Source organism: Homo sapiens, chromosome 10 (assembly GCF_000001405.40).
Source record: "Homo sapiens chromosome 10, GRCh38.p14 Primary Assembly".
NCBI lineage: Eukaryota > Metazoa > Chordata > Mammalia > Primates > Hominidae > Homo > Homo sapiens.
The window spans coordinates 76,902,463-76,918,628 of record NC_000010.11 but is presented as its reverse complement, the minus strand read 5'-3'; the positions used below and the strand labels follow the sequence as shown (position 1 = coordinate 76,918,628).

The 16,166-nt window shown below is 42.3% G+C and overlaps 1 protein-coding gene and 1 long non-coding RNA gene across 54 annotated transcripts in view; one reads left to right on the top strand and one right to left on the bottom strand.

The window, feature by feature from the left end:
• Window positions 1-16,166, top strand: part of KCNMA1 (potassium calcium-activated channel subfamily M alpha 1) — a 768,207-nt gene that overhangs the window by 719,180 nt on the left and 32,861 nt on the right. For 35 of the 53 annotated variants that reach the window (NM_001271518.2, XM_017016222.3, XM_024447990.2 and 32 more), the window contains 2 exons: window positions 3,580-3,693; window positions 8,533-8,663. In NM_001271518.2, the coding sequence (NP_001258447.1) occupies window positions 3,580-3,693; window positions 8,533-8,663 (245 nt within the window). Of the gene's footprint in view, window positions 1-3,579; window positions 3,694-4,491; window positions 4,573-8,532; window positions 8,664-16,166 lie in introns of all 53 variants that reach the window. The other 18 variants (XM_005269776.5, XM_011539785.3, NM_001322835.2 and 15 more) reach the window with 1 other exon arrangement.
• KCNMA1-AS1 (KCNMA1 antisense RNA 1) overlaps window positions 1-16,166 on the bottom strand; it is a 90,550-nt gene that overhangs the window by 59,965 nt on the left and 14,419 nt on the right. The gene's annotated exons all lie outside the window — the stretch shown is intronic.

Below are 16,166 nucleotides of genomic sequence, written 5' to 3'. Positions count from 1 at the left end.
AGAGGTGTTCTCTGTTCACCGCATCCATGCCAACATCTACTGTTTCTTGATATTTTGATTATGGCCGTTCTTGCAGGAATAAGGTGGTATCACATTGTGTTTTGATTTGCATTTTCCTGATACTTAGTGATGTTATATACAAATGGCCAACAAACATATGGAAGTCATTTTTAGCACAAAACTTGCCTCCCATGGCCATGATCAACAAAGTGCTATGGGTACATGGCTAAAGAATCAGGAGCCCATCTGGTGATAGCTTTGGCTGTGGATGATTTAAACTTCAGTCTTTTCCTGATTGAGGACTTCTCATTCCATGTCTCTAATGGTGATATTCTTAGTCATCTTTTCTGGCAAAATAAGTGGTTGTTTCTAAAATTAACTTCCCAAGTGTTAGTTTAACTAATGAAGGGAGTGTTTCCCAGTTTCACTGTTCTCTAGCTGTAGATCTCTGGAGTATATTCCATGTGCCAGTGTGTTCACATGCAGAACTAGGGCGTTGTTTAATGTAGAGAGACTTCAGGTGCTACCCATGATATAGTCATGGCTGCAAGCAATAATGGGAAGGAGAGCAAGATGGTCAGAGATTGGGCCACAATTTAGACCTGCCCCTTTATCAAATGCAGCTATGAGGAATGCGGTGGACACCATCCTATGGCATCAAAGGCCGGATTGCCTCATTCCTTTATGGAAGGTGCTTGAATTTCTCTTCTCTCCAAAGCCATTTAAGGAATCTGGGGCAATCCTGCCGTTTCTGACCATAATTTTCCCATATCAGTACCCCTAAGAAAGAAACAATGCTAATAAATTATGTTCACCTTTAACATAACTCTACACCAGGGAAAAAGAAGAAGCCAACTTTGCTGTTATTGTTGCCTTTTGCTTTTAAAAATGTGTGACTAGAAAAGTAGGGAAACAAAAAGAGGCATGAAGTTTTCTTAGCAATAAAAGCACACTTTTTTGGGGAGTCATGCATAGGGGAGAGTTGGGCCTTCAACAGAGAGATGTCTTTGGACACCTACCATAGTTTGTCAGTTGCAGATGCTAATGGAACCAGGCCTGGTGACTGAAGGGGAAAATGGAATATGAAAGCAAAATGAAAGAAGCCTATGAAGCAAGCATGTCATTTCCAAATGAAGGTTTCATGCAAAGGAATTGAGTCTTTTCACAGCTGAAAATGGAATCTTTAAATAAGATAAAATAAAAGGATGCCGTGGCTTGTTGCGAGTTCTGTAATGAAATACAGTTTTCCTAATACCGTGTGACCTGCATTTCTCCCTGCTTTATGGGTGCTATTCCTTGACGTACAAACCCGTATTTTCTCAAGTCAGCATTTGATGATGGATGTCAAAATACAGGCCATGTATTATGCATATAGCATTACCGATTTAAGGTGTTTACTTGTCAAGTTGAAGAAATTCAAAAACGTCACATCCACTGAATCTGCACAGCTGTCACTTCCAGTTTTTCATGTTTTTGAATGAAACTTCTAATGAAAACAGTTTAGTTTTCCCCTTCACCATCCTAGAAGAAGAAAACAGCTAGCATTTAAAAATGCGTGTTTTTGGTTATGTGGTTGGCTGAAAAACATATATTCGAAAGTTTGAAAAGATGGACACTACAATGTCAATCAAAATGACTTACCCTTTTCATAGTGTATTAATGTAAAGAATCAATTTAAGTGCAGTCAGGGAATGGATATTAAGTAAAACTTTGTCTTTCTTTTTGAAAGTATGGCACTCAGTGATAAGAAATGTATACACGGGAGAGCAGAAAGTAAGAAAACCCTTTTATATTTCTCTGGCATTTTATGCATTATGCACCTCCAAAACAACAGGCAATTATTGAGCTCCCGTATTTCATTCCTGACTCACACCTAGCCAAAATGCCAGACTCAACACAATCTTGTCACATTGCTGGAAAGTGAGTCAGATATCTGGTCACATAATAATCTATTTGGAGTTTTATCCTTGGAAATTTAGCAAGTGACTTTGTTCCTAAAAGTCCCTAATTCATTGGTAAGCCCATGTAGCATTCCGCTGAAGGAAAAAAGGAGAAACCGAAGTGAGTGTGAATGCTTGCCTATCATCTAAATGTAATTGCACTGGGTCTTGCCACTTGCGTGGAGCTGCCGTATGCTTCGTTAGAAAAATTAATTTTTACCAGATGAATGTAGGAAGTAAATAGGTTTCTAATATTGATATGTGTCCATGCAAAACCTTAACGAGGCAGACATTCTGCCTAGCCGGGATATTTCTCACTCTCACTAAACTGAAAGTTACAGTTGTTCCAACCTCATCCAGGTATGTACTTGGCTTGGACCTGGGACCCAAAGAAGCCCAAACTGCAAAATCAGAGACCAAGCAGGCTGCTTTCCAATTTTCCTGTGTCCACATATACCTTATGTGGTCTGTGTTTGGCACACTGGGAAGTTCAAGGGATCAGCCATAAGCAGGTGGCATATACATTAGTCAGGAGGATTTAGATGCAAGTAAACTCCTTCTCCATTTAGCTTAAACAGAAAGAAAAAAATGTGAACATCTTATTATATTGTGTGTATGTATATGTATAAATACATTTGTGTATGTGTGTGTGTGTGTGTGTGTGTGTGTGTTTATGTGTATAAAATCTCACATAGGGAGAAATCCTGAGGTGGGATGGCTCCAGGCTGCTTGCCCCAGGAACTCCAGGACAGCTCTTCCTGTCATTCACTTGAGCCAATATCACTAAGTTAGTTATGCCCTCAGCTGGTGCCTCAGTTCCTGGCACTACAGGCACATAAAACCGTGCTCAGTAAATTAAAAGAGAATCTCTTCCTATGTGTTTCTTTTTAAGAGCAAGGAAACACTTCCTGAAAGCCCCAGGAAGATTTCCTGACACCTCCCATTGGCCAGAACTCTGTGAAAACTGAGGCCTAAGTCACTCACCAGCAAGAGGATAAGCAATTGATTGGTTTACGGTAACAGTCAGGCCAGGTTAGGTTATGTTGTGGTAACAACAACAACAAACAAACAAACAAACAAATCTCAGCGGCTTAAAGCAACACAGCTTTATTCTTGACTCACTCAGTATGCTTTGTGGGTCTGGGTAACTGTCCAGGGCTGTTGTCTAGCCTTCATCTCCATAGTAACCTGTATTCTCACAGTTGCCATGGCCTGGGAAGAGAGAGATGGCTGTCCAATACCTGAACCAGCAGTGATATGCACTGCTCTGCTCACTTTTCATGGGCCAGAGCATTTCATGTGTCACATGGCCATACCTAACTTCAAGGGGGCACAGGGGATAATTCTCCTGTGTCCCTGGAAAGAGATGGGAGCCAAGATCTATGAGCAGAATAAATAATTGGTATGAAGTCTGGATTTTTTAGGGAACTATGAAGTGAGTTACGATTATTTATAATGGTTTCCTACCCTGTCCTTCTAAAGAATTAATCATCAGAGTTTATCCCGGGAATACTAATTGTTGACCTGTGAATAATGCATAAGCTACATTTTTGGGGTTGTATGTATATAGTGTACTCTGATTATTTCCAAATTTTCTACTTCTCTGATTTTTCTTCCTCCTCTGTTTCCTTCCCACTAGGGTTCACACCTCCAGGAATGGATAGATCCTCTCCAGATAACAGCCCAGTGCACGGGATGTTACGTCAACCATCCATCACAACTGGGGTCAACATCCCCATCATCACTGAACTAGGTAGGGGTCAATGTCAGCTTTGGGGGGAGTTTTTGTTCTGTCTTTCAAACCATACAGGATATGAGGAGGTTGGTTTATTTCTTAGCCCTTTCAACTTTGTAGCTGCTATGGGGTTTGTTTTGAGGGGGCTGGGAGGAAGGTATGGGGAGAAATATGGCAGATTACCGGAAGGGAAAACTGATCTATCTTTCTTCTGAGATGAATAGACAGTTTCCTTCATGCTGGTCACTGTTTTCAAAGGAGCATGAGATGATGGATTTGCGATTGGGGCATTCAATTGGGAATGGAGAGGAAAGGAGGAAAGGCTTAGTTCACGGATTCTTTCTGGTGATTTTTACTGTAAGAACCTCTTTTGAGCATTCTGTCTGGACAGCTCCTACAATCTGAGTCCTCCACTGATATACAAAGCCTCGGATCTAAGCCAAACCCATTTTGGGAACAAGGTAGAAGCCCTGGGCTAATGTGTAATAACTTGACATTTAACGTATCGTAGTTGAATATCTCAGCCAAAAGCCATTTTCAGCAAATGCCATTCTGGCCCCCAAAATGATGGGGTTTTGAGGGCCATGTTGGTTGGACAATAGAATCTAACTTCTAACCTGGCCATGGCACTCCCTGTTACCATTAGTGAGTGTGCAAAACTGTAGAGTGGCCTCTTCCCCCAAGACAAATGCAAACTACCTGTGGTCCGGGGTCCCTTTACTTGAGAATGTTTCCTCTGTTATTCCCTCACTCTCTTCTTTTTCTGTACTTTCCTCCACTCCCTTTCCCCAACCCTTAAATGCTGTATCCAATTAGCTAAACCGGGCAAGTTGCCTTTGGTATCAGTCAATCAGGAAAAAAACAGTGGGACGCACATTCTAATGATAACTGAACTGGGTAAGAAGCACTGTTTTCCTTCACATCAGTATCTCCTTTTGTTCTGTTGTTGGTGTTTCCAACTATCATCAGCTTGTTTTTATTTCACCGGCTGTAACAGAAAGGCTACCCCATGGCACTGCTTTGAATGTGTTTTATTTGTGGCTCTGGTTGGAATCGACTGTCTTGTTCTGGCCTTTCTTAATGATTTTTTCCCCACACAGCATCAGTAAACCTTTGATCACACCCATCTGACCTGGCAGTTGTTTCCAAAGCATATTTGCTCTAATTCATTTTCTCTGGCCTGAGCCTTTTTTCCCCACTTTTTTTTGTCACCCCGCTCTCCCGCCTTCTCCCTTCTACTCCTCTTCCAACATACTGTCAGTTTGAATGACATGTCTTCACAGCTCTTAGAGGAAGTCAAAGGAGAATATCAAAATTTTAAGATAAGAAACCTAAGATGGCACTTTCCCTCCAGCTGTTTATTTTTCTTTATTCTGACTTTATTTGCCTTTTTTTTTTTTCCCCCCTACTAGGGCATTTCTCAGAAGCTCTGGTTCTGAAGCCATAAAAACACCTGGTCCCTAGGAGAACTTTTTTTACTAAAGGCAGATTTCAAGAAGGGTGCGGAGGATAAGGTTAGCAGCCACCCACGTGCAGCCCTGCACTCTGGCCCCCAATCCCAGCCCAGAATCCTCTCTGGGAGATTCACAATGGACTCAGGTGGACGATAAAGGCCTCCAGTCGTGACTGCATTTGTTAGGTTCTTCCCCACTTCCCCGTGACTTGGTTAATAACTCCATGAAGGGCACCCATCAGCAGCAAGTCTCAGAACTGGGGATTGATCTTCTAAATAGAGACAGCAAAAGTGCTGCTCAGCAGAGGGGTGGATAGAGAGGTGGGAGCACCTGCCTTCACATGACTCACAAATGAAATGAACACCCCATTTTCTTGGCCCAAAAATATATTTCAAAATAAGGGAGCAGGCTTTCAACACAGTAATCTTGCTTGCGAGATGTCTAGAAACCAAGGAATAAATTGTCCACCACTCAGCAGTGCATTATTGTAGGTATAGCTATTTATCAGGACAAATTCACTCAGGTCAGGGAGTATCACACTATTTTCTGTTTCCAACCATAGGAGGGGTATCTTTTTCATGTTTAGTGTAGTTGTTTAAAAGCCCTAGGTTTCTGGATTGCTCTCCTCAGAACTGGAGGGCAATAAGAGACCCAGGGCTCATGTGGTCCACGCCTCTGGTTGGAAAATTAATCCAAACATCTCCATCTCACAAACCTACAGCAGCATTTCAGAATCCTCACTGCCGGGAATTTCATTTTCTATTTGGAATTCACGTGCCGCTGACTAACTAGGATATCTTAATTTGTCATTAGTAGACGAGAAAAGGAAAAGCTTGGTGCCCCAAACCTAAGGCAACAATTCTGGTATTTGATTAGCATCATTGACTCTCCTGAAGCCTTTGTCCCACACCAGATTTCTTCCTTGTGTTCAGAGAATCTTTCAGGTGCTCACACCACCCTTGTCTTCTGCCTTGAAACCTATTTCTCTAGCCACTATACCACCCTCCTCAGACCATTTCACCTCCCACATCCCCCACAAATACTTCTTATTTATCTACATGTTCTGAGATGTGTTCTGCATTATGCCAGGCCAGTATAATGAATTTTAAGAGACACAGAGGGCACCAAGGCCACACAAGCTTTCAAAGCTGTGTAGCACATTCCACTTTTCATCTACTTGGAGACTCTCAATTGATGTTAGCATGGCAAAGGCTCCTCAGAGTCTCACAAGAAAGGACTGTGTTACAGCTGTTTCACCTGACTATTCCAATTGTATTTGACCACATATGCTTTGGGGTGATTACGTGGGTACCTCTTAGCACCCACATAATTACTGTTCTGTGAAATAGGCCTTGAGTAGCATTGCTTGCTCTCCTTCTGAGACTGGGTATTTCAGAACGGTATACAAGGTATTCACTGGACCCTGGCTGGTCTCTTGGAGCGCTTTTCCTATGACCCCAGATGTCTAGCTCACTGGCAATCGGGAGTCCCCTCCCCCTACTTGGAGTCACTTCACCTCCATATCTGGTACCAACCCTTCCCCATCTTCCTGATAAGAGGTAACAGATGCTGTGCTTTTCGGAGCATTGCCACACACACCATTGGTGGCTATTACAAGTAACTAAAACTGCATTCTTCCATATGTGGTCTCCAGTTTACATTTTCTGATTCACAAAACAGAAAGACTAAACAGTGGCCTACAACATCCCTTTGGACAAGTGAAGGGAGGTGAGGAAAAGCTACCTCTTGAAAGACCCCTGAGCAAGACCTTCAGTGTTTCCAAGAGAGGCAGAGGGAAGCTGGGTATTTTCATGCTATAATGGGTGGACAGGTATTTAATGTCAGAAGGGAGATCATGACAGCAGCTGGTATTTATCAAGTCATGGCATGATCCAGATGCTGGGCCAGGCTTACTGGGCACCATCCCATTCGTATGAGCCTCCTGACAGCCTCATGAGAGAGCTGCTGTAACTCCCCCATTTTACAGAAACAAACTAAGGTATAGAATGATGAAATGCTTTGCCCAAGGAAGTTGGCAGCACAGGCTGGACTGAAGCCCAGTTGTCAGAGCCTGGATTTTGGACTTTCACCACTAGCCTGCAATTCAATTGCTGCTTAAACAATGGGGACCCAAATGTGACCAATTTTGGAAGAACAGAGCAAAGATTTTCCCCATTAGAATTTTTCTCTGGGGAAACAAGATGATGTCATTTTAAAATACTAATTCCATGCCTAGCCTTTCATGCTAGTATCATTTATTCTGCTTCATACAGTAAACAAAAGTTTTTTTTTTTTAAAAAAGAAGAGTTATCAAGAAAGTTGCTTAAAAATTAAAACAATCACTCTAGAAAAAAGAATTAGCTGTTGATACATTTAGAAAGGAATCAGGGAAAGGAAACCTCATCTGTTCTCTTCCTAAAATCACAATAATTATTTCAGAAATTTTGAGTGCCCCCTTCTCCCATCCCCCCACCGACTTTTCCCCTATTACTTGCTCTGCAAAACTGATAATTTCCAAAGCCAAGATGGGAATGGAAATTAATTTGTCATTTAATTTTTAATAAGTTAAAGACATCTGAGTGACACAACTAATCAGCCTGCACGTACATGCGGGAGGAGTCCTTGAGGAATCCTCAGATGGAAATGAAATACAGCATCCAATGCTGCATCTGCTTGAATGCAAGCATATAAAAGATTGAGCTGTTTAGGATGGGAAAGGGAGAACGTGGGCGTCCCCATGCAACTCAAAATTCAGAGCAAGTCCTTGTCAGCAAGCAGCAGGAGACAGCCAGGCATCCATCCCACCTGGGGTTTCCTGTGTATTAAACAGGGCCTATTGGGTGTGGACCTAGATTTAGGGCCTGGGACCCCGGGAACTACCCAGGCCAATCCCAGTGGGTAGGCTGCGGGTTATGCCTGTGGCTGAATTCCTTGCTATCTGCCTTTGCTGTGCTCCCCTTCCAGCGCTCTTTACTCCCAATAAGCTGCTTTCTTTTCATTGTGGCTAAAATGACTATCCCAGCATGGCTGCTCATCATTGAAATATGTCCATCTCTCAAAGGACTTGGTTACCAAAAAACACTGGAAAGTGTTTTTAGGTCATGATCCTAAAGCTATGCCAAAGGACTGGCCAGCACAGTCTATTGGTCCTCCAGTGGCCTGCCGTGGAGCAAGCCTGCTTGAACTTATTGCTCTCCAGGTCTCAGACACTTAAACAGTGACACAGGAACAGTCCATTGAGTCCCACTGCCCCCCTTACCCAAAGATCCATCTACAGCTTATTCCATGCTTTTGTTTCCTTCTCAATGACTTCAGTATTTCTAAACCAGTAGCCTGGTCTCCCTCTGGCTTCAATGCCTGTGTGTGGTCTTCAGAGCTAATTCTTATTTTATGCTTTTTCTAGTGAACGATACTAATGTTCAGTTTTTGGACCAAGACGATGATGATGACCCTGATACAGAACTGTACCTCACGCAGCCCTTTGCCTGTGGGACAGCATTTGCCGTCAGTGTCCTGGACTCACTCATGAGCGCGGTGAGTTATCCTGTTCCCTCCTCCTCACTCAAGGGTGGAGGATGTGCCAATAGAGCACCTCCAACCTTTGAGGCCCTGGGCTGCACTGGGGCCACAGTGGAGAGCAAGACTCCTAGAAGCTCACACCTTAGAAGGGGAGACCCACATTATAAAACCATCACACAAGTAAATGTTTGATTATAAATTCCTCAAGTGCAAGGAAGGCAAGGCAGGCTAGAAGGAAATATAGGTGAGGGCTTGACCTGGTTTTGGGGATCCCAGAAAAATTCCCCAAGGGAGTTGTACATTTTATGCTAAAATTTGAGCCATAAAGAGGGGAGATCTTGGGGGAAGAGCATTCTCTGAAGAAGAAAGAAAGCAAATGCAAAACCTGGTGTTGGGGGGGACCTGAGGCTCTCAAAGAAGGCAAAGAAACCCTGTGAGGCTGGACCATGGGGAGACAAGGGTGCAGGAGGATGGCCAAGGTTAGACCTGCAGAACCTTGAAACACATTTTCATGGTTTTGGACTTTTTCTTAAGAATAATGAAGAGGCACTGAAGGATTTTAGTTGGAGAGTGACATAATCAGGTTCATGCTTTAAGGGGATTGCCTTGGCTGTTGTAGGGAGGATGATTCAGAGGTACAAGATGGCGGCAGGAGGTCTGAGTAAGAGGCTGTCATGGCTTGGACTAGGATAGAGCTGGTGTTGGGATCGAGGGAGGTGGATGGAGCTCAGTGGTATTGGGCAGTACAATTAATAGGACTTGGGAAAAGATTGAGCATGAGCAGAAGGTGGAGAGGACAGTGGGTCAAAGATGACTGCCAGGCCTGTCACTGAGACTGAAGTCCTTGGGAGAGAACCAGGCATGGAGGCAAGGCCTGGCTGGAAGGAGGGAGGAGTTAGTGGCAGAGAGAGGACAGTGGGCTGGCCCAGGGATCAAACACAGCTTTGGTTTCTTTTATAACTTGATGTGCATCTAGCAATCAGGCATTTGTTTTTTCACTTTTGCAACCGAAAAACAAATAACGATTAAAAAATGGGTCCCAACATTATGGAGCCATCTTTCACTGCAAAAGGCAAAAGTAGGCATTTAGAATGAGTCATAACCTGGGTATTATGAAGTCTTCCCACTGAGCATCTTTATTTATTATGTAGAAAATCTTCTTCATTTTGGAGTTCTCAAATTCTCAATTTGTGAAAATGCAGACATAGGCTGAACAAAAACTTGACCTTTGGAGAATCCATGATAAAGAGCTTTTCTGAACACATTAAAACCATAAACAGAACTCAGAGTTTTTACACACGTATATTTCTTAAAGTGCTGAAAGTTATTCTCCTGAATGTGCTAAACAACTGATATGCTAATTATGTACTGGTCTCATCTATTCATTAAATAATGCTAATCCCAGAAGGACCTCTATTTGAGGAAAGAAAAAACATAAAGCTTTTTAAGACTAATTTGGGTTATTCTGTATGCCTGAACATTGTCCAACTGCAAGCATATCTTATTTAAAAATCAGAATTTTGGATTTAAAAATGACTGTGAAATGACATTCGTCTGAATTAAGGTTAACTGGGCTTCATGCCATGCCATGGCTTTCCAAGCCAACAAGGAGATAAAATGGTCCTTGGAAAAGGGCTCCCTTGGTTTCCTGGGGCTCATGATCTTTCTTATGGCCTGATGATACCAAGGCTAACCTTTCTACCTGCTAGTGATGTTGGGCTCAGTTTGGGCAAACTCCTTGAGCAAGCCAGAAGGAATGATAGAAGCCTCAAGATGTGTTCCTAAGAAGACCATATTCTCAGTCATAGGCCTCATATTCTGCAAATCCAGTTTCAAATGGATTTTGGTAATTCATCTCATTAGAAATTTTTATTTTAGTTCTGATCCTAATTACAGAGATCTCAGAAGACTGTTCTAAGAGCTGGTTAAACTATTTACAGTAGAATTTTTTTTTCAGAACTACAAAATACTCTGATAACATTTTTAAAATTCCAAATTTATAAAATTGTTTATGTTTCTACATATCAGATATTTAGTATGTTTCTAGCAGGACTGGCTACATAATTTGCAAGGTCACTTTTCATGAATTATTAAGAATTTCAAAATGGTGACAGCAGAGTATTAAAACAAAAGAGACTTGGGGCTGGGTGCGGTGGCTACCGCTTGTAACCCAGCACTTTAGAAGGCCGAGGTGGGCAGATCACTTGAGCCCAGGAGTTTGAGACCAGCCTGGGCAACATGGCAAAACCCTGTCTCTACTAAAAATATAAAAAAATTAGCTGGGTGTGGTGGTGTGCACCTGTAATCCCAGCTACTTGGGAGGCTGAGGCCTGAGAATCGCTTGAGCCTGGGAGGTGGAGGTTGCTGTGAGATGATATAGCGCCACTGCACTCCAGCCTGGGTGACAGAATGAGACCCTGTCTCAAAAAATAAAATAAAATAAAATAAAACAACAGAGATGTGTCTGAGTACAGCCCTGTGCAACCACATAGGCTGAACACCCATGAAACCAGCCCTGGTTCCAAGGAATAAAATCGGTTTGAGCACTGGAGAACTTCTTTTCAACACAGCCAAAGGGGCATATGGTAGCCACAGGGTGGAGGTGGGGGCCCATCTGGATTTGAGTTGCACAAGCATCTATATCATCAGTAGGTAGTCAGTTCTTGGAAATTCAAATGAGAATTCAAAGTGAATTGATTTGAAATTTTTAAACAAGCCATCTCTCATCTCCTTTGAAATGCACACAAAAATGTTTGGGATAGTGTGACTAAGGCATGTTTGGATGCAATAGTATGGGAGCAGCATGTCTTCTGCATTCTAGCCTAGGATAAAAGGGTATCAGGAATCTGGTAACTGTCATTGTATTTATCATCAGGAGCATCATTTACTAAGGGCCCAGAACTGTGCGAGGCACTTTAGCTACACTATCGAATCTTTTGGACAATAATGTGAATACTCTTGGTTTAAGTGTTGAAGCAAGACATATTTAAGTAAGTCATTGATGGTAACTTTTCAAATCATTAATCAAAATGCCTATCAAATTATTCCAGGTCTTGTTTTCATTGTCTAGGATGAACAAGCTTCATAATGAGGTCTTGAGTAGGGTCTGAGTCCACAAATCTAGTTGGATCCAGACGTTTTGGTAAAATGTTACCTGTGATTTCTTTGCATTCTACCCCAACCTTAATGTATGAAAAAACAGATTAGTCAAGTGCCAAGGCAGTAACTAGAAGGAACAAAAAGGGCTGTCATGAATATAAATTGAGAAAGTGAGACTCCTCCAAACAGCAGGAGACAGAGGTAAACTTTCATTGCAGGCATTCACTCATAAGCAACATCACAACATCCACACACAAATCTCTTCAGCTGTTGACAGTCTCCTTATTCTAGCGCTCCTCCCCAAATTGTCATTTAATCATGTGTCTAAACATTCTCTGAATATTGTCCTTCATAACCCAACTCCTGCTGCTTACTGCTTCATTTGTTAAAAGAATAATATTTTGATTCATCACAGGCATTCCTGGAACAGATCAGGATGTTACAGACATGGCCCTGTGGCTTTATCTCACAAATCAACAGCAGAAACACAGGATGAGAGGGAATAATTAGGTTTTTGGATATATGTCTCTAAGAAGATCACAACTTAGAAATGTATTTTTCAGAATGATACCATCTTGATGCACACAGTCGCACCAGGTGAAAGGAATCCTCTCTGTTTTTAGGGATGAGACTCACATATGAGTATTCAGATTTCTTTTTCATCCAGCTATCACTTTCTCCCAACCCCAGCCCCAACTTAAGCTCCACTTGGACCCTGAAAAGTGAATACTGGACATGGACTCAAGCGCCAGATGGCTTAGATCTGGATTCCAGAACTGCTGTTTACTGGCTGGGTAACCTTAACCTCCCTGTGCCTCAGTTTTCTCATCTTTAAAATGAAGATAGTAATAGTACCTATGTCACAGGGTTGCAGAGATGAGTAAATGGGTAAAGGTTGTAAAGCGATTAGAGCGGTGCTTAGCACTTGACAAGCTCTGTATGTATTTATTGTTGCTAGTGTTTTTAATCAATACATTTATTGGGCACTTACTGGACACCAGGCATGATTCCCCATGCTGCGGATTCAGTTGTAAAAAAGAAGGATGAAGACCTTGCCTTCATGTTATTTAAACTTTCATTCTAGTGGGTTAAGAGTAAATAGGTAAGTGAATAAATGAATAGTGTCACATAAGGATAATTGATTTGAAGAACATGAAATAGCTTGAATGGGTGTGGAGACCTGTTTTACCCTCAGTGGTCAGAGTAAAATTATCCTAGGAGGTAACATTGAAGCTGACACTGAAAAAAACAGAGGGAGAGAACACTATAAAGGCCAAAGCTGCACAGTGGTGACAAGCTGGGTTTGGTTTGTTGGAGGAAGCAGTTGGAGGCCATTATGGTTGGAATGTGGTAGACAGGAAGGCAATCAAGAAGGCAAGGCCGCTGGCCACACTGAGTATTCCGAGTACAATAGACCACATCTGGCCAAGTTCTAAGTCTGGAATGAGACACTTCAGACTTGGCGAGAGGATCCTCCTTCTTCTGAAAGCCACCAGCTTCCTCCTAATGCCACTGTTTCTGGATACGCTGGCTAGGACAGTGAGCTCATCACTGAGTTGATTCCTGAAGCGCAACCCTTGATTATTTTTTTGTCCAACACCCCATCCTCATGCACTCATTTTAGAAGAAGAAATAGCACAATATATTGGCATAGTACTTGGCTTGATATCTTGTTTCTAATAAAAGATCTGTAATAGAAGTCTCGAAATGTCACATTGCAGTCTACATCTACCCCACAGACAACTTCTGCATTTATCAAGTTTTTATTTTTAAATTGAATTTGTTGCCAATATTTTAAAATAAGATTTTATATAAAATCGGGGTTCCTGCCTTCTTTAAATTAGAGTCAGAAGGCAGAGTCCCAGATTCCCGTAAAGCAGCTATTGGCTTGAGCTGAGCAGCTGCTCCCTTTAGCCACAGTCCACACTACTCTCTATTGTATCCCACCAGGCCTGCTTCATTCATGTCCCTTCCCTGCTTGGTTCATCCCACTGTCCTGGCCTTACCAGCCTCCTGCGTTTTGCTTCTAATCTTATGTGTCTGCATTGCAATGTCTGTGGTCAGACAGCATCCTTGGCCTTCCGGTCACTTGCTTGTCCTCTGAGTTAGGAGGTTGTGCACATGATGTCCATTTTCCTTGAGCCTTGGACCTTTCCTAAACAGATACCAATCACACTGAACCATCGTTATTGAAGGAGCAGTGAGGAGCCACCTCCTTCTGAGGAGAAAAAGGGGAACCCTACTACAAGAGCTAATGAGTTCCAATGCACACAAGTTGGGAGTGTTGTCGTTTTTTTTTTAGAAAACAAGATTTAATGAAGCTTTAGGTTTGCAGGGCCTACCTAATCTGGAAAAATAAAGAAAAAGCATATTATAACAGTGTTAAGAGAAAGAGCAGAGAAAAGCAGAGGCCCCTTTTGCTAGTGTACGATACATCTGAGAAGCGTGAATGCCAGCCTATGGAGAGACCCATGCGCAGGATCCCCCAGGAGCTAGAGAGAAATTTCAATGTGAGCCAGTTAAGGCAGGTGTGTCTTTGCTCTGCCCACTGCACCACAATGCCCAGGGCAGGAGTTTGCATGTCCAGTGCATTCATATTTTCAGAACAAAGGCAGTGACTTGGAGGAGGGAAACTGGGCCATGAATTAGGACTTGTAGCTTCTGGTCCTGGCTCACCGGCAGCCCTTGCACATTTTTTCTACTGTTAAATGGGAATGATGTTACTCCTTATGACTTTCTGCTAATTGGAGAATGGCAAAGGCATATAAAAATCTTTCACAGAGCAGATACGTATTTCTTAAGATCACATGTAATTACAAAGAAGCAGATTTTTTTGGTATATATGCATGTACATATATGTATATATATTTATGTGTTTGTGTGCACTTATCCTCTCTCTTTCTCTCTTTCATGAACACACATCTTAGATAATATTTGGGAGCTTAGTGGGTAGATGAGTTGGGGTACCCAGAAGATATGATTCCATGTTCTCATCTTTAATATCAGAGAGCTGGCCTGTTTGCCAGAAACGAAGTTATATCAGTAAGACTGGAGGGTGTGACCGTCTGGAATGTGGGTTCACATGATTTACTGTCTTTCCTGTACTTTCATTAAGGGCCAAACCCTTGAACCTGGTGTTATGGAGAGGCCTGAGTTCTCTATCAGTCCAAGCTAACCTAATGCCATGTGATTTTAGTTACATAAACAATTTATTGCTCCATAACCCTATTTCTTACACTCCACTCAAGAGCCTCCATTTCAACTGCTCACACGGAGACAGAGGGCACATGGCCGTCCCGAGGCAGAGGAGCTAGCAGTGGTGTCAGTCGGGTACATGGAGGTATGTCCTGCTAGACTCAGGACAGACCACTGCTGTCACATCAGGCCAGGCAGGCCTGGGGTAGGGAAAAAAAAATCCAATCATTTTCATCCCTCACGAAAGAAAAATACTAAAAATAAAAATCTACACCATGAAAACTAGCAAATATAAAAAATGGCAGCTATGACATGGAAAATGACAATTTTAGAGCAATTATAAACGAAAGGCAGAGAGCCATTAAAGTTAAGGCAATGTTATTAAAAGATGTGTTAATTTTCAGTTAAATTTTCTATAAAAGACCAATTAGTTTAAAAGGCTTGACAGCATTAACTGTGAAACATAAGCTCCGGTAATTATACTTTAAAAAAATAAAAAGAGGAGGATGCTTGGGCGGGTTACACTTGCAGGCACAGCGGGGCGTGGGCCAAGCGGGCTAGATGGCGCTGTGGGCTCAGGTTTCCCTGTTACAGTGCCTTGGTCCCTCCCCTGGCATTTCATGGTTTCCTCAGTGTCCTTTTACAGGACCTGAGAATCATCAAACTTTAGAGGCCAAGCGGGCCACCCTTGTGTTCTGAGCCAGCTCTCAGAGATTAGAATCAGAACGCCGAGACACCCGGAGAGGGAATTGTCTAAATTGGTTGCATTGCTAGTTGATGGTTCTTTTTATAAACTCCCATTTTTTGAGTATGCTTTGTCTATCAGAAGTTTCACAAATCCTCTCATTTAACTCTAATCTATAAATTTTTGTTTTGTTTTGTTTTTTCATCTCTGTTATATGGATGAGGAATTCAAGGCAGAGAAAAGTTAGGCAACTTTTTCATTGTTGTGCCTATTGGATAGCAAAGCAGGTATTAAAAGCCACACTAATTGGATTTGGAAATCTGTACTCATAACCAGGGGGCCACGTTGCCTTAATCAGAAGAAGGGCTTCGCTAGTCAGGTTTGCAAACTTGTCCTTGGCAGTGGGAAGAGGGACTCCTGTATTCCTTAGACTATGCGGGTTCCCTGATCCCAGGCTCTGAACAGGACCCTAACTCAGCTGTCTTATACTCAATGCCCATGTGACGCAAGGATAGATATTGAGAAGGTCTCTGCCTGAA